Here is a 21,469-nt window from a genome sequence, read left to right on the forward strand (position 1 = left end):
ATTAGGAAGGATGACTCTGAGGGCTGTGGAAATAGCCCAGGCGATGGGTAGTAAGGCCTAAATGGGGTAGCTGGTGGGATGGGGTGTAGGGGGACCACTGGGAGAGGGTGAAAGAGATTCAGCTGTACCAGATAAAGAAATCTAGGTCAAGAGCTGGATTGGAAATAGAAGAAAAGCCAGGCAAGCATGTTGTCTGGGTCCTGGGAAATGAATTCAAAATGTCAAGAATTATCTATTAAAAAAAAATTTTTTTTGTAAGAATCTTGCTCTGTTGCCCAGGCTGGAGTGCAGTGGTGTGATCTTGGCTCACTGCAACCTCTGCCTCCCGGGTTCAAGTGATTCTTCTGCCTCAGCGTATCTGAGTAGCTGGGACTACAGGAGCCCGCCACCATGCCTGGCTAATTTTTGTATTTTTAGTAGAGACGGGGTTTCATCATGTTGGCCAGGCTGGTCTCGAACTCCTGACATCAGGTGATCTGCCCACCTTGGCCTCCCAAAGTGCTGGGATTACAGGCATGAGCCACCACCTAAAATGTCAAGAGTTATCAGAGCTGTTACCTGCCTTTCAATATTGTTCAGGTACTGCCTACAAATGCTAATAAACAGTTCATCTTGACTCTGTTTGCAGCTTAAGATGTTTTTAGGCCTCTTGATGAGTAATTGTCATTGAATTAGAGACAGCATGTCCCAATAGTTCTTCCTGGAAGTGAGTGGGGATGCTTTTGCTTTTCCCAGAACCTGCTGACATGGCCAAGCATGGAGCCGACGAGCCATCCTCCAGGTCAGGGAGTCCGGACAGGGAAGGTAGGGCCTCTGAGGACAGATCGCTGCTTCATCAGAGGCTGGCTGTCCGGGAGCTCATCGACACTGAGGTCTCCTACTTGCACATGCTCCAGCTCTGTGCCTCTGACATCAGGAGCCGCCTCCAGCAGGTACTTGGGTGGGGTCACACACAACCTGTCTTTATAGGGGCAAATGTGGGTCCCAGCTTCTGAGATTTCTCATCCATTCCTGGGGCAAGCTTGACAGAAAGGAAGCGTGGTAGATGTGAAGTCTGACAGACCTGGATGTAAGCCCCAGTACTTCTTTTCCTTGGCCGTGCAACCTCCATCAAGGTCTTCCATGGCTTAGAGTCTTAGTGTATTCCTTGGCTAACTGGTGAGCGGAATAATCACTGGGAGACCTATGTGAGCTAATGAACAAGCCCTTTTCAAGTTTGGAACAGATTGCTTAAACTGACTCTTCTTCTTCTTCTTCTTCTTCTTCTTCTTCTTCTTCTTCTTCTTCTTCTTCTTCTTCTTCTTTCTTCCTCTTCCTCTTCCTCTTCTTCTTCCTCTTCCTCTTCTTCCTCTTCCTCTTCTTCCTCTTCCTCTCCTTCCTCTTCCTCTTCTCCTTCTTCTCCTTCTCCTTCTTCTCCTTCCTCTTCTTTCTTCTTCCTCTTCTTTCTTTTTCCTCTTCTTCTTCTTCCTCCTCTTCTTCTTTTTTTCCTGCTTCCCCTTCAAGGGTCTCTTTATTCGATCACAAAGTCACTGTCAGCGACTTGGCCTGGCCCTCTATGGCTTCCAACAAGGAAATGCTTAAAAGTCAGGAAATGCATTTGCTGCCTTTCCTAGTACCAAAAATTGACTACAACCTCTTTGGGTACCCTGAGATAAATCAATAGCATTTGCTTTTTCTTTACTTTTCTAACAGAATTCCAGAAAAAATAAATCTCATATATATATATCTATATATAGATATAGATATAGATATAGATATATAGATATAGATATATAGATATATATATGTGTGTGTGTGTGTATATATATATGTATATTTATATTTATATACACACATTCATATATAGAGAGATCCCTCAATCAAGAAGAGGCAAAGGATCCAGCATCCTCTGAGGTGCCCCTTGGCCTGGTGCAGGAAGGCCAGGAGGCACCAGCTGTCTTGGGAATCACCTTGAGATGTGCAGTGCTGAGCTGGTGTGGCATGGATGGGGGTCTGCAACAGCCTTCTCCCTCTAAGGAAGGTGGAACTAGGACAAACCAGGGGAGCCCTCACTCAAGCTTTCCACACATCCTGAAACGTGAGCTGTACCTGATGGAGCTTTGAAACTAAAACCCAAAGTGCAGATACAAAAGGATTCCCTGATAGGCCTCTAGGGGACTGACTCCTTAGGGAAGAGTTCCAAGAGCATCAAGCAGCAGGGGCTGGGGGAGCCAGCAGGGAGGACATACGCCCACAGCCCCCAGGCCCCCGAAGACAGGTGTCATGGACACAGAGGCCTGCTCAGCCACAGGAGAGGGGCTGGGCTCTGTCCCCTCCTCAGGTCTCCAACCACAGCCCCTGCAGGCCCTCAGGCAGGGGAACCCAAAAGGCCAGGGCAAGGCTCGGCTCACCCAGGAAAGCCCAAGGCAAACTTATTTATTTATTTATTTATTTACAGGAGACAGGGTCTCACTACATTGCCCAGACTGGTCTCAAACTCCCAGGCTCAAGTGATCCTCCCATCTCACCCTCCGAAGTCAGCCTCCTGATTAGCTAGGATTACAAGCACATGCCACCACACCGAGCCATGACCTACATTCTAACTGTCTCATTTGCAGGGTGGTGACATGGAGAAATTAGCACTGTGAGAGTTACTATTACAGTGCTTATTTTTTACATTTTCTTTTTTGGGTTTCAGAAATAATGCAGGCTCTTGCTTGCTACGTTTCAAGCATCCCCTAGCATTTGAACTCCATAAGGGCAAATATTTTGTTAAGTTGATTATATCCCAGTCTTGACACATAAATAACAGACTTAAAATTAGTCTTTCTTCATTGAATGAAATACCAATGTAGATAATGTAGAAAGTGAAGTACTTCTTTTATTTTACCCTCCAGAAATTGGGATTTTTCTCTATAGGCATTAAACAAGCAAATACAGTCTTATGTCACTTAACACCAGGGATATGTTTTGAGGAATGCATAGTGAGGCAATTTCATCATGTGTGAACATCATAGAGTGCACTAATACAAACCTAGATGATATAGCCTACTACACACCTAGACTGGATGGTATGGCCTATTGCTCCTAGGCTATAAGTGTGTTCAGCATGTCACTGTCCTGAATACTACAGGCAAATGCAGCACAATAGTATTTATGTATCTAAACACAGAAAAGGTACAGTAAAAATATGATATTATAATCCTATGAGATCACCCTGGTATATGCAGTTTATCATTGATTAAAATGTTATTATGCAGTGCGTGACTGTATATGTTGTTATTTATTTTAACAGAAACAAGAGCAGACTCTAGATATTGTTCTTCAGTTAGCTTTCCCACTTGAATGTGTGTCCAGCACATCCTTCCATGCTTGTGCATTTATATAGATGTCCTGCATCTTTTTAAACAGTGGTATAGCCTGGTTAATAGGGGCCAGAGAATGCATCTTGAGGTCATGGTGGTAGGTGCCAAGTATGTCAGAGGTGGAAAGAAGTCTAACTTCTCACCCTTCAATGACAGATGGGGAAACTGAGAGAAGCTAGCTGGCAGCAGACCTAGGCTAAAACCCCGGTTCAGCTTTTCTTCCCCACTGAGTACTCCGTCTGTTCCTCTCTTCTTGTAGAGTAATGAAAATACCTAATTTTTTTTTTTTTTGAGATGGAGTCTCGCTCTGTCGCCCAGGCTGGAGTGCAGTGGCACGATCTCGGCTCACTGCAACCTCCACCTCCCAGGTTCAAGCAATTGTCTACCTCAGCCTCCCGAGTAGCTGGGATTACAAGCACCCACCACCATGCCGAGCTAATTTTTGTATTTTTAGTAGAGATGGGTTTCACCATCTTGGCCAGGCTGGTCTTGAACTCCTGACCTCATGATCCACCCGCCTCATCTCCCCAACGTGCTGGGATTACAGGCGTGAGCCACTGCGCCTGGCCTGAAAATACCTAATTTATAACGTTTCAAAATCCTTGCAAAATTCCACTGGGGCAGCCAATCTTCTCAGGAGTGATGGGAATGGTGTGAGTGTTCTGTCCTACTCTCAAAAGCCTGCAAATACATTCTATGGAACTCCCAACCACCTCTCATGGCTTCTTTGTTCCTTCCAGTTGCCGCAGGGAGATCTGGATGTCCTGTTCTCAAACATTGATGATATCATCAAAGTGAACAGCAGATTCCTCCATGATCTGCAGGAGACAGCCTCCAAGGAAGAGGAACAAGTGCAGCTAGTTGGTAAGCAAAAAACCTAAGGAGTTGTCAGCCTTAGATTCTCATGGAACTGTTCTCAGCGAGTGGTCACTGCTTAACTGTCTCCAGAGTTCCAGAGAAATGCAGCTCAACGGCAGTCTGTTTTGGGGATCTCCAAAACACAACATATCAGAGCCAGCAGGGCCCTCAAATAACAACTAGTCCAGTCCCATTGCTTTACAGAGACCGAGCCCCAGAGACAGAGAGGAACATGCTTACAGTCACGGAATTGTTAGTGATGCAGCTAAATCTTTAGTCTGTGTCTCTTTCACATTCATTCATCCAACGGTTATTTAATGAGCACCTGCAGTGTGCAGGCACAGCATCAACGAGAGAGTCTGAGCTTCTATTCTCATGGGGTTGACAAGTTAGTGACAGAGACAGAAGATAGACAAACAACAGAATTGTAGGTAATAATTTGTAATTTAAAGGAAATAAATAGTCATGGTAACTTCTGGGTGTGAGGGAAGGCCTCTGGAGGAGGGAACATGTGAGCTGAGATCTGAGTGTCAGGAAGGAGCTAGCCTTGAGAATATCTGAAGGGAGAGTAGAGAGCATAGTTGTGCAAAGGCCCTGAGGCAAGGATGAGTCCAGAATGTTTAAAGGACAGACGGAAGGTTGATGTGGCTCCAGGGAAATTAGTGAGGGGAGACTGTTGGGGATAAAATAGAAGAGGCACGCAAGGACCAGATCATGCACAGCTTTATAGGTCATGGCAAGGAGTTTGGAGTTTATTCTAACTGTGATGGGGAGCCACTGGACAGTTTTGAGTGGGGAAGTGACACGGTTTGATTTATGTTTTTCTTTTCTTTCTTTTTTTTTTTTTTTGAGACGGAGTCTCACTCTGTCGCCCAGGCTCGAGTGCAGCGGCATGATCTCGGCTCACTGCAACCTCCGCCTCCTGGGTTCAAGCAATTCTCCTGCCTCAGCCTCCCGAGTAGCTGAGACTACAAGCGTGCGCCACCATGCCTGGTTACTTTTTGTATTTTTAGTAGAGACAGGGTTTCACCGTATTGGTCAGACTTGTCTTGAACTCATGACCTCTTGATCCACCTGCCTTGGCCTCCCAAGGTGCTGGGATTACAGGCGTGAGCCACTGTGCCCAGCTGATTTATGTTTTTCAAAGATCTCTTCAGCTGCTGTGGACAATGGATTATGAGGGGGTGGTGAGAGTGGAAGCAGCGAGATCAGTTGGGGGCTTTACTGTGGCCCAGATGAGAAATGAGGATAGTCTCCTTTGGTTTAATTTTTTTTTTTTTGAGACGGGATCTCACTCTGTTGCCCAGTCTAGAGTGCAATGGAGCAATCATGGCTCACTGCAGCCTCTACCTTCCAGCCTCAAGGACCCTCCTGCCTCAGCCTCCTGAGGAGGATAGTCTTCTTATTCTGAAATGGTTAGGATGAGCACAGCAGAAAGAAAGGAGGAGTGGGTCCAAACCTCATACCTGTCTCCTTCTGTCTCATCCCATCTGCTGCCAGGATTCCCATGGTGAGGGATTTCCTAGTGGAGTCAGGAGATATAGGTGAATGGGTGGGTGTCAGATTCACTACAGTGGCAGAAAGGAGGAGGAGATGAAGGTACCCAGTACTGTGGCCACCCAAGTCCCCTTTTACACCACCAATCTTCTAACCTTTCCTGAACACGAATGATGAGGATGCAGATTAAAAACAACAAATATGCAAAAAAAAGTTTTATTTTTTTTTGAGATGGAGTCTCGCTCTGTCACCCAGGCTGGAGTGCGATGGCATGATCTCGGCTCACTGCAACCTCTGCCTCCTAGGTTCAAGCGATTCTCCTGCCTCAACCTCCTGAGTAGCTGGGATTACAGGCGCCCGCCACCACACCCGGTTAATTTTTGTATTTTTAGTAGAGATAGGGTTTCACCATGTTGGCCAGGCTGGTCTCGAGCTCCTGACCTCAGGTGATCCGCCCACCTCAGCCTCCCAAAGTGCTGGGATTACAGGTGTGAGCCACCGTGCCTGGCCTAAATACGCAAACAAATCTTAAAAACCTACTTTCTGAGTGTTTACAAAACGCTAAGCACTGTTCTTATGTACATATATTAATTCACTTCATCTCAAAATAACCCTGAAATGTAGATACCATTATCTCATTTTACAGTTGAGGAATCTTTGGCACAGAGAGAGGCAATAACCTGCTTAGTCACGCAGCTAGGGGCAGAGCCAGGATTTGAATGCAGGTAGTTGGCCCTGAGAGTCAGAGCTCTTAACTGCTACACTGAATTGCTTCTGCATGGTAGAAGGTGAGACTTAAAGCCTGTATACTGTGTGTTTATCATTCCTCTGAAAATATAGTTCTTTAGTAAAATAGCAATGTGAGTTACTATTCCCTACAAATGATAAAGGAATGCAAAATTAAAGAACAAGATTTTAAAAAGCACCTGTAGGCCAGCCATGGTGACTCATCCCTATAATCCCAGCACTTTGGGAAGCTAAGGTGGGCAAATCACCTGAGGTCAAGAGTTCGAGATCACCCAGGCCAACATGGTGAAACCCCGTCTCTACTAAAAATACAAAAATTAGCCAGATGTGGTGGCACACACTTGTAATCCCAGCTATGCAGGAGTCTGAGGCACGAGAATCGCTTGAACCCGGGAGGCGGAGGTTGCAGGGAGCTGAGATCGTGCCAGTGTACTCCAGCCTGGGTGACAGAGTGAGACTCTGTCTCAAAAATAAAAAAAATTTAAAAAGTACCTATAGATGTTCTCACAGGTACTTCTCTTTTATCATTTGATCATTATTTTGGTTAATAATTAACACTTATTTGAATGGAAATTGATATAGCCTCAGGCTGAAAACATTCTAAGGGTCTAAGGACTTTGAGCTCGGGCTCTTCTATAGCTACATGTTTGAGGTTTGGTGAGGTTCCTTGTAAAGGTCTTCATTTCTCAGTCTGCCTTTGTGCTGGAGCCACAGAGCCAAAATGTTACTTCGTCTCCTGATCACACCTGGTGATAGGTCCATGGACTGCCCTCACTGCTTCACTGTAGGGTTTCCAGTTAAAATATGGGATGATCAGTTAAATTTGTATTTCAGATAAACAATGAATAATTTTTTAGTATAAGTATATCCCAAATGTTGCATGGGACTTACTTACGCTAAAAAATTATTCATTGTTTATCTAAAATTCAAATTTAACAGAGCATCCTGTATTCCTCTCTCCCCTGCAACTTTGGCAGTCCTGTTCCCTGGCCTTTACAGAGTCTGCAGAAAATATCCTCCTCATCCCTTGTCTCTTGTGGTTGCCAAAAAGAGGCCCAAATAACCCACATGGCTTTTCTTCTCCTCAGTGCAACTGTGTGCCAGGCCAGGCTGCTCTGGCTCTTGCCTGCTGTCTCTCTATTCCCCTTCTAGCCCCTAGGCCTTGCTATGCAAGGAGAGCCCTTTTCCCAGTAAGGCAGCAACACCATTTTTTTTTTTTTTTTTTTTTTTTGAGACAGAATCTCTCTCTGTCGCCCAGGCTGGAGTACAGTGGTGCAATCTTAGCTCACTGCAACCTCTGCCTCCTGGGTTCAAGCGATTCTCATGTCTCAGCCTGCCAGGTAGCTGGGATTACAGGCGTGCGCCACCACGCCCGGCTAATTTTTGTATTTTTAGTAGAGACTGGGTTTCGCCATGTTGGCCAGGCTGGTTGCAAACTCTTGGCCCAGCAACAGCATTTTGAAAGATTTTTGGGAGACTGGGCATGGTGGCTCACGCCTGTAATCCCAGCACTTTGGGAGGCTGAGGCAGATAGATCACCTGAGGTCAGGAGTTCGAGACCAGCTTGGCCAACATAGTGAAACCCCACCTCTACTAAAAATACAAAAATTAGTCGGGCGTGTTGGTGGGTGCCTGTAATCTCAGCTACTTGGGAGGCTGTGGCAGGAGAATTGCTTGAACCCAGGAGGTGGAGGTGGCAGTGAGCCGAGATTGTGCCACTGCACTGCAGCCTGGGCAACAGAGCAAGACTGCATCTCAAAAAAAAAAAAAAAGAAAAGAAAAAAAGAAATATAACGTTAGCTGCAAATTTTTTAAATTTTCAAGTAGCTACATTAAGAAAATTAAAGAAGCAACTGGAATTAATTTTAATGATATCTTTTATTTAACTCAATAGATCCAAAATAATATTTTAACATGTAATCAGTATAAACATTCATCATTCATTACTTTTGTTTTGTATGAAGTCTTTGAAATCCAGTATCTTTTACACTGACAGCACATCGCATTTGGGGTTCATCATATTTCAAGTGCCCAATAGCCACGTGTGGCTGGTGACTACTGTATTTGAGCATTGAAGGTCTAGGTTACCGCAGGAGCTTTGGAATCTGACTAACAAGTCCCTGCCACCCACAAGCTCTTTCCTTTCTGAGTCCCAGTTACTGCCACCTTAAAATGATCATGAAAATAGTATCCATCTCTGTGCCAACAATGATGCCAAGTACTTAACCTGAAGGAGCTCTTTGAGTTCTCATAACATCGTTACTTGTTGATTATTATTAATAACCTCCATTTTACCAAAAACGTCTCTGAGGCTCAGAGAGGCTAAGTAACATTCCCAAGGTCACACAGCTTGACCAGGCAGAGTTAGTATTTGAACCCAGCTCTTCTAGAGCCCTAGGTCTTGACCATGCTGCCTCCCTTTCTCTCCTTTCCAACTAATCCCAGCTAGAGATGAGTATCCCCTTTTATGCTAGGAATAAATTGTTTGCTAATCTGTGACTGGAGAAGGACAAGCAGGGAGGAAACAAGCCTTTCCTTTGGTGTAATTGCCATTCTTGCCTCTTTGGACCACTCTGTTCTGTGGGAGTTCACTTTCCTCCATCCTTTAGTTACTGAAACACCCTTGCCTCTGGCCACACTGGTATGACACAGTTTCCTTGGCATGTCTGTCTCATTTCTGAGGACACACCCATGTTGAGGAGACTGTGGGAACCGGCCTAGGTTTCACGGCCACACCCAAGCTATCTCTTAGCCAGGCCGTCTCTGCAGTTGGCTGATCTCTCTCTCACACAGCTTCTTCCTGGCTGCAGTTTCGGGTGGTCATGTTCTGTCTGGCTCTAGGGGCTTCTCCTGGGAGTTCTTGCTAGGCATCAGCTGAACCAACACCGGGAAAGGGTAGGCCCTGGGACTGCGATCTCCCCATGGGGATCTTTGCTGAGAACTGGACCATGCACCTCTGGCCACCAGCTGATGTGTCCCAACACAGACCTTGTCTGGGTCACAGGTCTAGCCCATGGCTTTGGCAGGCAGTAGGGTCAGCTGGGCTTCCTGTGGTCCCTGGTTCCCCACCTGCCTTCTTGTGGTTAATATATTTTTCTTCACCCTCACCACTTCCTCTCAAGTCCGTCCACCCTCTGTAGGTAACTAATCTCATTAGTTTCTGATTTGAAAGTATGGAACGCTTCGCAAATTTGCATGTCATTTTTGCAGAGGCGCCATGCTAATCTCTATATTGTTCCAACTTTAGCGTATATGATGCTAAAATTGAGCACCAGTGTGATCCTTTTAAGCAGAAATCAGATCATGTCACCGTTGCTCAAAGGCCTCCAGTTGCTTCCTGCAACCATCAGAATAAAACCTGAATCCCTTACTGCACTCCACTTACTTTAAGACCCTACATGATCTGGCTTCTGTTTCCTGCTTATTTCCTCTACTTTATTTTTATTTTTTAATTAATTGATTTTTTGAGACAGTCTTGCTCTGTCGCCCAGGCTGGAGTGCAGTGGTGCAATCTCAGCTCACTGCTACCTCTGCCTCCAGGGTTCAAGCAGTTCTCCTGCCTCAGCCTCCTGAGGCACCTGCCACCACTCCTGGCTAATTTTTGTATTTTTTTAGTAGAGACGGGGTTTCGCTATGTTGGCCAGGCTGGTCTCAAACTCCTGGCCTCAAGTGATCCACCCGCCTTGGCCTCCCAGAATGCTGGGATTTCAGGCATGAGCCATAGCACCCAACCTGTTTTATTTTTTGACACCATCCACCTGGAGATTTATTTCCTCTACTTTATGCCCTTGTTCACCTACTCCAGCCACACTTGCCTTCTTGCTGTTGCCCTTGTGGCCAGCACTGTCCTGCCTCAGGGCCTCTGCAGGTGTCCTTCCCTAATACTTGGTGCTGCTCTTCCCTTGCTTGTTCCCAGGACTAGTTACCTCTGCCTCTCTGGTAGACATTCACATCTTGCGAAAGGCCTTCCCCAAGTACATCCCCCACCATTTTCTAACTCTTTATTTGGCTCCGTTTTAATTCATGGCACTTATCATATGTGTATTGTCTCACGCATCCATGTGAAGAGACCACCAAACAGGATTTGTGTGAGCAACAAGGCTCTTTATTTCACCTGGGTGCAGGCGGGCTGAGTCCGAAAAAGGAGTCAGCAAAGGGTGGTGGGATTATCATTGGTTCTTACAGGTTTTGGGATAGGCGGTGGAGTTAAGAGCAATGTTTTGGGGGCAGGGGGTGGATCTCACAAAGTACATTCTCAACGGTGGGGAGAATTATAAAGAAACTTCTTTTTTTTTTTTTTTTTTTTTTTTTGAGATGGAGTCTTGCTCTGTCACCCAGGCTGGAGTGAGTGCAGTGGCACGATCTCAGCTTACTGCAAGCTCCGCCTCCTGGGTTCACGCCATTCTCCTGCCTCAGCCTCCCGAGTAGCTGGGACTACAGGTGCCCGCCACCATGCCTGGCAAATTTTTTTTGTATTTTTAGTAGAGACGGGATTTCATTGTGTTAGCCAGGATGGTCTCAATCTCCTGATCTTGTGATCCACCCATCTGGGCCTCCCACAGTGCTGGGATTACAGGCATGAGCCACCGGGCCCGGCCTAAAGAAACCTCTTAAGGATGGGGGAGATTATAAAAAACATTGATCAGTTAGGGTGGGGCAGAAACAAATCACAATGGTGGAATGTCATCAGTTAAGCTATTTTCACTTCTGTGGATCTTCAGTTGCTTCAGGCCATCTGGATGTATACGTGCAGGTCACTGGGGATATGATGGCTTAGCTTGTGCTCAGAGGCCTGACATATATAATAAATATATTACATATGTAATATGACATATATAATAAATATATTACATATGTAATATGACATATGAGGATGGCGATTAAAAATAACAAATATGCAAACAAATTTTTTTTTTTTTGAGATGGTGTCTTGCTCTGTTGTGCAGGCTGGAGTGCAGTGGCGCGATCTCAGCTCACTGCAACCTCCGCCTCCCAGGTTCAAGCAATTCTCCTCCCTCAGCCTCCCAAGAGTAGCTGGGACTACAAGGGCACACCATCACACCCGGCTAATTTTTGTATTTTTAGTAAAGGCAGGGTTTTACCATGTTAGCCAGGCTGGTCTGGAACTCCTGACCTCGTGATCCACCCGTCTTGGCCTGCAAAGTGCTGGGATTATAGGCGTGACCCACCACACCCGGCAGTAAGTACTGTTTCTATTTGCATTCCATAGATGAGAAAATAGAGAGCTAGAGGAGTGAAACACTTGCCTCAGGTTACACAACTGGGGAAGGGTTGCTGGAGATCTGTCCCTAGTTCCCTGGAATCCAAGCTCACACTGTAACCAGTTGTGTTATGCTGTAGCATGTCTTTGTAAATTGGGGATTTGTTGTGCTTGCCACACATTTTATCTTTAATTATAAAGATAAAATGAGTGGCCAGGAGTGGTGGCTCACAGCTGTAATCCCAGCACTTTGGGAGGCCGAGGTGGGTGGGTCACCTGAGGTCAGGAATTCAAGACCAGCCTGGCCAACATGGTGAAACCCCATCTCCACTAAACATACAAAAATTAGCCAGGCATGGTAGCATGAGCCTGTAATCCCAGCTACTCAGGAGGCTGAGGCAGAGAATGGCATGAACCTGGGAGGCAGAGGTTGCAGTGAGTAGAGATTGCGCCACCACACTCCAGCCTGGGGGACAAGAGCAAGACTCTATCTCAAAAGAAACAAAAAAACAAAAAAACAAGCTAATGGTTGAGTGTATTTTGTGTACTATAAAGCACTGTCCAAATGTGAGCATTATTAATATTCCTGGTATGACTATAGCTACCATTTAGTAAGTGCTCACAGTTTCCTAGCCTAAGATGTATATCATTCTGTCACTCAATCCTCAGAACAACCTTGTGAAAAGATGAAAAAAACAGAAAGTCAGGAAGATGAGGTCATTTGCCCATGGTGACATGCTGGTAAACCCAGCAATCTCACTGGAGAGCTGGAGGGGTTTACTTACTGCCTCCCTGTTCCAAGCTAGGGGACACACAGACATGCCCTTGACGACCCCTTGTTGCGTCTTCACTCTCAGGTAACATATTTCTGGAATTCCAAGAGGAGTTGGAGCAAGTCTATAAGGTCTACTGTGCCAGCTACGACCAGGCCTTGCTACTGGTGGACACGTACCGGAAGGAGCCGGAGCTGCAGCGGCACATCCAGGGCATCGTTGAGGCGGTGGTGTGAGTAGAACGGCCAGTGAGCACTCGCTCCTACCCCACTGACCCGGTTCAGGAGCAGCTATGGTCTCACCCCTTTTTCATGCCATTCGTGCTGCTTCACGAGTGTTGCTCTGTCAGAGCCTGTGTTAGTCAGGATAGGGCAGGCTGTGCCACAGAGACAAACAGCTCCCACATCTCAGTGGTTTCAAACAACAAAGGTTTATGTCTTCCTTATGCTCCACTGAAGGCTGACTTGGGGTTCTGCTCTTTGTCATCCTCACTTCGGCACCCAAACTCACAGCAGCCACTGTCTGGAATATTGCCAGTAACTGTGGCTTAAGTAAAAAGAGCTCTGGAGAGTCTAATGCTGGCAATTGAATGCTGTGGGCCAGAAATAATATTAATCACTTCTCGTAATTCATTGGCCAGGACTAATCATAGCTTCATTCAACAGCCAGGAGGCAGGGCATGCCATCCTACCACATGTCCAGGGTTGGAGAAGCGGAAACGTTTGGGAACAGTGCTCATGAGAAGCACAGGAAAGGGCAGTGAGATGGTGGGACCCATGTGTTCCCATAGTGATAAGAAGCAGGTGTGTATCACCTGAGGCTCCCTCTCTACCGGTGGCTGAAGTCCTGCCACATGGAAAAGGGAGAGTATCACCAGTCCGTGGTGGACTCATAGCTTAGAATTAGCACCAATGGGTAGAAGCCTCAGGTAGAAAAATGTAGAGAATATGTATTCGAATTTAAATTTTCGAATGGGTAACGTGATTATAAGATTAAAAAACTTTAAAACATCAAAATTTTTACAGTAAAAAATATCTGGCTGGCTGTATTTTTTACAGTAAAAAATATCTACAGTGCTGGGACAACAGGCGTGAGCCACCATGCCAGGCCTAAAGTCTCCTTTTCAAGAACCCGTGTCCTAGCCCCTCTCTGCTCCCAAAAAAACTGTATTCATTTTCCCTTTTTATTCATCCTTCATGGGTCTTACAAACAGGCTTCTGCAAGAGTCACAAAATATATTTCTACAGTTTACAGATATAAAGGGAAGCAAGGTGCCAGAGATGAGATAAAAGGGAGAAGTGGAGGCTGCGCACACTAGAGACAACAGACCCTGTGTAGCGTGCAGCTGCAGGACAGCCTTAGCTAATTGCTGCTATCAAGTGGCTTTTGCTAGATAACAAATCACCCCCAAAATGTAGTGGCTTGAAACAAACATTTATTTAGCTCATACTTCTGCATATTAGCAATTTAGGTGTACTCAGTAAATGTTCTCCTGGAATCATTAGCACCCTCAAATATCTGCAGTCACCTGCAGGTCAGCTTTGCTGATCCTGGCTGGGTTTTTTCATGTATCTGGGACACATGAGCTGCCTCACCTGTGGTCCTATGGTCTCTCCTCTTCCCGCCTGCTAGCTTATTCACATCATGGTCTCATGGTTCTAAGGGCTGTGGGGAGGGCTTGGCATCTAGAGGTCTTAGCTGGGAACTGGCACATTGTCATTCAAATGAAGTCCTAAGGCCAGCCCATACTCAAGGGGTGGGGAAATAAACTGCATTTCTTGGTAGCAGGAGCTTCATAGTGACAAAGGCTTGTAGAGATTGGGGGAGGAATAATAGCAGTGATGTTTTTGCAAACCATCTGCCTCAGCTGCCATGTAGAAATGAGGGTCTGTTGTGGCCAGAGCCTCTGCTTTTTTAAGAGACGCCAGAAACTTAGATGTAACATCTCTCAAGAGTTCAGTGCTGGCATCTAGCTCAGACATTTAATAAACACTGTGTGTGGGAGCCCTAGTTTGCTCAGAGGCTGCTGTTTATTACATCCTCTGCACTTTGGTCTTTCCTAGCCAGGCCAGCTGGGCTTTGCTCATGGGCTCTGTAGCCGAGCTCCATGGTGGTGGATGTGGCTTGGCCCCTGGCCATGAGAGAGCCATCTTATGTCTCAGGATCTAGTTTCCTTATGTGTAAGGTGGGAGGAATAACAGCCCCGCATGGGGCATTGATTCATTGCACACGAGTGACACTCAATGAATCTCACGTATTATAGTTATCTCGGCTAGGCAGGGATTCTATTTTCTCTGAGACCACACTGTAGTTCTCAATTTTATCAGTGCCATGCTCCCTTGTTATAACAAATATTACATACATTTACTATCCTAAGACATATCCTGAAATATATGTATAAATAAATATATCTCTTCTACCTATATATGTAACTGAAAAAAATCAGTATAATGGCTTCACTAAGAAAGGAGAAATAAAAGGAAAATAATTTCCAATAAAATGCTATATAGTTTAGTGTGCATATGCTTGGACACCACTACTAAAAGATATAAGGAAGCCATCAGATGCTTGCAGCTACTTGTAATAAATAAGTTTGGATTTAAAGAAAGAGATATCTGAAGCTGTTCTGTACAAAAAGTACAGAAAAATGAAAGGGCACAGAATGTGTTTACCCTAGAATAGCAACTGACAGTGACAATAAACCTGACTTTCTCTTTTTTTTGAGATGGAGTCTCGCTCTGTCGCCCAGGCTGGAGTGCAGTGGCGCGATCTCGGCCCACTGCAACCTCCGTCTCCCGGGTTCACGCCATTCTCCTGCCTCAGCCTCCCGAGTAGCTGGGACTACAGGCGCCGGCCACCACGCCCGGCTAATTTTTTGTATTTTTAGTAGAGATGGGGTTTCACCGTGTTAGCCAGGATGGTCTCCATCTCCTGACCTCGTGATCCGCCCACCTCGGCCTCCCAGAGTGCTGGGATTACAGGCGTGAGCCATGGCGCCTGGCCTAAACCTGACTTTCTTATTTATGATAAGAGAAAGAAGGAAATAACACCGTTGAAATTGGGATTTATAAAAGATAGTGTCATAGTAATTCCCAGTATTATGATATATGACTGGATAGAGTCCAAGTGTGACAAACATATTTAGGTTCTTAGAAGTGTAACACATTTCGAGGCCTTTGTTCAGTTTCTGAATGTTCAGGGGGACATATGAGACATGGAACAATTCTCTGTAGTTCAGGACTGTCCTTGCAAGACATCCAGTGTACCTGGTCCTGTCCCTGCCCGTTAAATGCCTGCGGCATTACTTTCCAGAGCCTGGCCAATAATAATCACCACGCCAGCCATAACTAGTTCTTTCTCAGTCTGCTATGATAGATGGCACCAGGTTATTAGATTCCTTGGGATTCCAAAATGCACGCTGACCCCACCCTTTATTTGGGTAGGATGTTCATTCTGTCTTTTAAGGCAACTCTTCCCATCTGAGAGCCAAGGGAATAAAAAAACTCACCTTTGCAGTGGGCAGGAAGCTCTGCCCTAGGTAGGACTGTCCTAATGGTAGAGCTGTCAGGGTGGAAAAGGCGGCCTTGCAGAGGTGGGCCCGTCCAGCACAAAGCACTGCAATTCCAGAATGATGGCTGAGGCAGCAGAGTTTGGAGAAGGCAGATAACCTTCTTTGTTTTCCTTTATCAGCTAGGTGTGTTTGTTTTAAATATAAAAGCAACATATGCTTATTGAACAAAAGGAAAGTTCCAATAACACAAGTATATAAAGTAAAAAGTAAAAATCCATTCCACTAGTAATGTTTTCCATCCAAATTTTCTACTGTATATTTATAGATAGAGAGACACATAGATGGACAGACAGATAGATGGTTAGATAGATAGAATTTTTTTTTTTTTTTGAGACGGAGTTTTGCTCTGTCACTCAGGCTGGAGTGCAGTGGTGCAATCTCAGCTCACTGCAACCTCTGCCTCCGGGGTTCAAGCGATTCTCCTTCCTCAGCCTCCCGAGTAGCTGGGACTACAGGAGTGCGCCACCACGCCCGGCTAATTTTTGTATTTTTAGTACAGACAGGGTTTCACCATGTTGGCCAGGATCGTCTTGATTTCTTGACCTCGTGATCTGCCAGTCTTGACCTCCCAAAGTGCTGGGATTACAGGCGTGAGCCACGGCGCCCGTCTGATAGAATTTTTATGAGGCTGCTTCTATACATGCTGTTCTAGAACTTACATTTATGCTTAACCATAGTAATGAATATCTTTTCAGGACAGCATGGATATTGATATTTCTACAGTGTTTTCTTTTTTTTTTTTTTTTTGAGACAAGGTCTCACTCTGTCACCCAGGCTGGAGTACAGTGGTGTAATCTCAGCTCACTGCAGCCTTGACCTCCCAGGCTCAGGGGATCCTCCTACCTCAGCCTCCTGAGTAGTTTGGACTACAGGTGTGTGCCACCACACCTGACTCATTTTTTGTATTTTTGTAGAGACAGGGTTTCTCTATGTTGCCCAGGCTGGTCTCCAACTCCTGGACTCAAGAAATCTGCCCACCTTGGCTTCCCAAAGGGCTAGGATTACAAGCATGAGCCACTGCGCCCAGCACAGTGTTTTTTTTAATGGCTGCAGAGTTTCTTTCCTGGACTGTTCTTAGACTATGGTTTATTGGCCATTCCTCTATTGAAGCATATTTGGGTTGTTTCCAATTATTTACTAACTCAAATAGAGTCACTGAACAACTTGTACCTTTATCTTTGCTCACTTGGGTTTGGATTTTTGTGGGTATATTTCTAGGATGGGATTGATGGAAGAAAGGGTTTGTACCCTTTACAAATTGCCAAACTCCTCTGCCTCTCCAAGATCTTGCCAGTTGATACTCCCACCAAGAGAATGTACAAAGACCTGTTTTTCCACACTCACCCAGCTCTGTGTATCATCTTTCAATTTCTGTTGCCTATCTGAAAAGCTGCATAAAAAAGTATTGTCCAAATTACCTTAGAAAGTCTGTAAATGTGAGCGGATGCCCTCATTCTTTGGTAATTCCTTCATGATTGTAAGGAAAGTACGCGGTCATCTCTTCCAGGACCCCTTGCTCTCTAATTTGTGAGGCGATAGTTGTCCCCAGGAGACACTTGGCTCTTTCCCATGGAAAGGAAGTCCAGAGGATGGAGTCTTGCAAATACCTGGCAGTGGTTTCCACCTCCCCTGCCCACAGTCAGCCAAGCCCCAGGACACCCTTGGTGAGAGCAGATGACCAGCGTAGGCGTCTCCTGATGGGTAATCCTGCCCCCTGCAGCTTCTGAGGGGCTCCCACCTGCTCTGCCTATTCTTAGCTTCATGGCTGATCTTTCCTGGACATTTGGTCTGGAGATTTTCCTAAGGAAGGAGAGCCAGAGGCACGAGTATCATCAGGGAGGGCCCAGAGAAAGTTCCTGAGCAGCATTGGTTGAGTCTTCAAGGAGAAGGCACACTTAGATGGCTGAGATTTGAAACCTTTGTGGCTTTCTCCAATCTGGGCCTAGGGGCTACTGGTCATAATCAAGAAAAGACTGTGGAGCCCCTTCCCGGATGCTATTGACTTGGGGACTCTGGATGAAATTCCAGACATCCTTAAGAAGGAGACTATAACTAGTCATCCATGCATCAGTGGTGTATCTGGAAGGGACCTTGGCACCATTAGTTCCAGAGTTTTTTTTGTTTTCACTTTTTTTAAAAAGATGAGGTCTTGCTTTGTTGCCCAGGCTGGAGTACAGTGGCATGATCATAGCTCAGTGTATCCTCGTACTCCTGGGCTTAAGCAATCCTCCTGCCTTAGCCTCCTGAGTAGCCACCACCATGCCTAGTTAATTTTTTTTTTTTTTTGAAGCAGAGGTCATGCTATGTTGCCCAGGCTGGTCTTGAACTCCTGGCCTCAAGCAATCATTTTTTTTAACTTTTTTTCATAAAAAGTTTCAAAACTATAGAAAAATACTATAATGTGATAGATACATACCCACCACCTAAAATTAACAAGTGTTAACATTTTGCTGTTTGCTTTATCTATTTTTATGCTAATTTGAAGGAAATTATAGATATTATGACTTTTTACCCCTAAATACTTTAAATAAATCTCTAAAAATTAAGTTCCCGTGATTTTAAGAACATTTTTTTTGGTCGGGTGTGGTGGCTCACACCTGTAATTCCAGCACTTTGGGAGGCCGAGGCGGGCAAATCACAAGGTCAAGAGATTGAGACCATCCTGGCCAACATGGTGAAACCCCGTCTCTACTAAAAATAAAAAAAAATCAGCTGGGCGTGGTGGTGTGCACCTGTAATCCCAGCTACTCGGGAGGCTGAGGCAGGAGAACCACTTGAACCTGGGAGGCAGAGGTTGCAGTGAGCCGAGATCGCACCACTGCACTCCAGCCTGGTGACAGAGTGAGACTCTGTCTCAAAAAACAAAACAAAACAAAAAAACACGAACATTTCTTTAAGGCAGCAGACCATTCTATTAAATAAGATATCATGTGGATACACAACACAGAGTTGAGCTGCGCTCGGGACATATCTGAGCAGAGATGTCAAGGATCTAGTTGTATGTGTCAGTCTGGAGCTCTGGAACAGAAGTTGGAAGTGGAGATCTGGGCTTGGGATGTGTTTAAAGCCATAGGACCAAATGAGGTCACTAAGAGAAAGTGGAGAGAGAGGGAGGAGAGGACACCCAGGGCACTCCGGCATTGGAGAGAGGCCAGCAGAGGAGGCTGAGAGAGCTGCTTGCAGAGTATGAGGAGAAGCAGGACAGAGGGTGTCTCTGGAGCCAAAAGAAGAAAGTGTTTCAAGAGCAAGGGTGTAGTCAGTCGTGTCTGCTGTGGAGAGGCCGAGCAAGCTGAGGGCAGAGAGCTTGAACATTGGATTTGGGACAGATGGGAAACCAAGGCCCAGAACCGTCACTGCCTGCCTAACATCTAGAACTCACAAGTTACAGATGAGGAACTGGAGGATCGCAGAGAGGGGGTGACTTGCCTGAGATCACACAGTGAGCTAAATGGTAGAGTGAGGACTACAGCCCAGGCCCCCTGGTCCTCCAGAGGGTGGGATTTACCTGCCTAATACCAGCCTTCTCCCTCAGGCCGCAAGCTGGATCTTCAGGCCTCAGTTTCTTGCTGGTAATTCCTCTGCAGAGGATCACCAGGTACCCACTGCTGCTGCAGAAAATCCTGGAGAACACAGTCCCTGATGCCAGTGCCTATCCTGTCCTTCAGAGGGCTGTCTCTGCCCTCCAGGACGTGAACACCAATATCAATGAGTACAAGATGCGCAAGGAAGTGGGTAAGGACTTGGGCATTTAAGGGGACACATTAGTAGGAATGCTTCCAGTTACAGAAAATTTATCTAAAATCTGCTTCACCAGTAAAGAGAATGTAGTGGCTTATGTAACTATAAATCCAGAGGTAATGCAAGCTTTAGGTAGGGTTCGATCAGGGTGCTGGCTCCAGTTCCCTGTAACTCCCTTGTCTCTGCTCTTTACTCTGTATCAGCTTCATCTTCAGGCTGGCTTGCCTCATAATAGTAAGTTGTGGCTGTTCCAAGACTCACAGCTGCACACCACACTTACCCGGGTAAGGCAGGGTTTTTTCCCCCTTAGCCACAAAAATTAAGTCAAAGTTTCTCTTTGATAGGACCCACCTGGGTCATGTGCTTACCTTGAACTAATCACCAAAGTTAGGGCATCATGAACTGATTGGCTTAGGTCTGGGTTATGTGCCCTTCTTTGAATTAATCACTGTTGCCAGGGGTTTGGAATTATATAAATTGGCTTGTATCAGTCAGCAATCCACCCCTTGAGCTAAAGTGAGATCAATCTCATCCAAACCACATGACTGCCACACTGTGGAGGAGAAATCAATAGTGGGGAGGTAAAGAGCTGTGCATATATCTGGGGAGCCTGCCTCTCAGGTTATTAAAACAGAAAGGTTTGGAAAACGAAACAGTGTCTCAAGTTAAGAGAAACTCAATTACATGACTGAGACAACATAAAAATGGCAATTCAGCTAATGTTTACTAAGGGCTAGCTGTGCCATGCTTTTTCCTTCATTGTCATATTTGGTCTTTGCACTAACCCTCTGAGGTTGGCCCTGTTAGCCCCATTTCACAGTCAGGTAAAATGAGAGCATGCATCACTTGCTTCCTGTCGCAGAACTGGTAAGGGACAGAGCCAGGTTTCAAACTCAGGCCTGGAGTCTTCACCACCATGCTATACTATATTTAGCAGCTTTGGATTTCCTCCCCACCTGCTTCTCCATCCTACGACAGATCAGTAGGAAGCACTGAGTCAGGACCGGGAAGCGTGGCTCCCAGCTGGCCTGGCTCAAAGTGGCTGAGGGACCCCAGGCAAATCTCTCCTCCATGGGTTCTTCTTTAGGAAGTTCATTCAGACCCTCTGTCTTAGGTGACTCTCCCAGCAATCCTGCGAGGTGGCTGGTCCCATTTTACAGATGAGGAAACTGAGGCCCCAAGGAGTGGTGACTTCCCAAAGTCAAGCAGGCAGGAAGCTCTTCAGCCAGGGCTCACACCTCAGACAGAGGACCCTATGCTTTTCCTGTGTGACTCACTAACCTCATGAATGTGACCCTGATGGAGCAGAGGGCCCAAGCAGGTGCCCAGCCGGGCATGTCCGTGACATCCACTTTCCTGAGTTGGCTTGATCACCGTGCTTCCCCTCTTCTCTGTCGTTGCAGCCTCCAAGTACACCAAGGTAGAGCAGCTGACCCTCCGGGAGCGGCTGGCCCGCATCAACACACACACCCTCTCCAAGAAGACCACCCGGCTGAGCCAGCTGCTGAAGCAGGAGGCGGGGCTGATCCCCAGGGTGAGCGTGCGCCTGGGAGGAAGAGTCACATCCAGCCACCCCCAAGGCCAGGCCCTGCACAGTGGGTAGACAGGGGACTTAGGCTCCTTTCAGAACTGAGGCAATGGAGGCTGAGAGATTGAGGTGCTGGGAAGAGGCAGAGGTGGCACCCCACTTGATTCTGAAGAGCCAGTGGAGGGGTTTCTC

At 46.1% G+C, this 21,469-nt stretch overlaps 1 protein-coding gene and 1 pseudogene across 7 annotated transcripts in view, besides 6 other annotated features; one reads left to right on the forward strand and one right to left on the reverse strand.

Moving 5' to 3' along the window:
* ARHGEF37 (Rho guanine nucleotide exchange factor 37) overlaps nt 1-21,469 on the forward strand; it is an 83,344-nt gene that overhangs the window by 45,399 nt on the left and 16,476 nt on the right. For 6 of the 7 annotated variants that reach the window (XM_011537642.4, XM_047417170.1, XM_006714784.4 and 3 more), the window contains 5 exons: nt 736-932; nt 4,085-4,208; nt 12,525-12,672; nt 19,544-19,743; nt 21,153-21,283. In XM_011537642.4, the coding sequence (XP_011535944.1) occupies nt 736-932; nt 4,085-4,208; nt 12,525-12,672; nt 19,544-19,743; nt 21,153-21,283 (800 nt within the window). The remainder of the gene's footprint in view (nt 1-735; nt 933-4,084; nt 4,209-12,524; nt 12,673-19,543; nt 19,744-21,152; nt 21,284-21,469) is intronic. The other variant, XM_005268448.2, reaches the window with a different exon arrangement.
* Nucleotides 9,231-9,370: an enhancer, noted in NCBI's record as "active region_23379". NCBI's record gives its function as "activates an Ori minimal core promoter by ATAC-STARR-seq in GM12878 lymphoblastoid cells {active_cell/tissue: GM12878}" and the evidence as "EXISTENCE:reporter gene assay evidence [ECO:0000049][PMID:35858748]".
* On the reverse strand, nt 9,614-9,718 carry RNU6-588P (RNA, U6 small nuclear 588, pseudogene; annotated as a pseudogene).
* Nucleotides 14,303-14,597: an enhancer, noted in NCBI's record as "tiled region #10925; HepG2 Activating DNase matched - State 8:EnhW". NCBI's record gives its function as "activates a minimal TATA promoter and a strong SV40 promoter by Sharpr-MPRA in HepG2 cells {active_cell/tissue: HepG2}" and the evidence as "EXISTENCE:reporter gene assay evidence [ECO:0000049][PMID:27701403]".
* Nucleotides 18,889-19,089: a silencer, noted in NCBI's record as "peak5533 fragment used in MPRA reporter construct". NCBI's record gives its function as "represses an SCP1 promoter by STARR-seq MPRAs in K562 erythroleukemia cells {active_cell/tissue: K562}" and the evidence as "EXISTENCE:reporter gene assay evidence [ECO:0000049][PMID:32103011]".
* Nucleotides 19,866-19,935: an enhancer, noted in NCBI's record as "active region_23380". NCBI's record gives its function as "activates an Ori minimal core promoter by ATAC-STARR-seq in GM12878 lymphoblastoid cells {active_cell/tissue: GM12878}" and the evidence as "EXISTENCE:reporter gene assay evidence [ECO:0000049][PMID:35858748]".
* Nucleotides 20,806-20,935: an enhancer, noted in NCBI's record as "active region_23381". NCBI's record gives its function as "activates an Ori minimal core promoter by ATAC-STARR-seq in GM12878 lymphoblastoid cells {active_cell/tissue: GM12878}" and the evidence as "EXISTENCE:reporter gene assay evidence [ECO:0000049][PMID:35858748]".
* Nucleotides 21,066-21,335: an enhancer, noted in NCBI's record as "active region_23382". NCBI's record gives its function as "activates an Ori minimal core promoter by ATAC-STARR-seq in GM12878 lymphoblastoid cells {active_cell/tissue: GM12878}" and the evidence as "EXISTENCE:reporter gene assay evidence [ECO:0000049][PMID:35858748]".

The sequence above is a fragment of the Homo sapiens genome, chromosome 5 (assembly GCF_000001405.40).
Source record: "Homo sapiens chromosome 5, GRCh38.p14 Primary Assembly".
Lineage (NCBI taxonomy): Eukaryota > Metazoa > Chordata > Mammalia > Primates > Hominidae > Homo > Homo sapiens.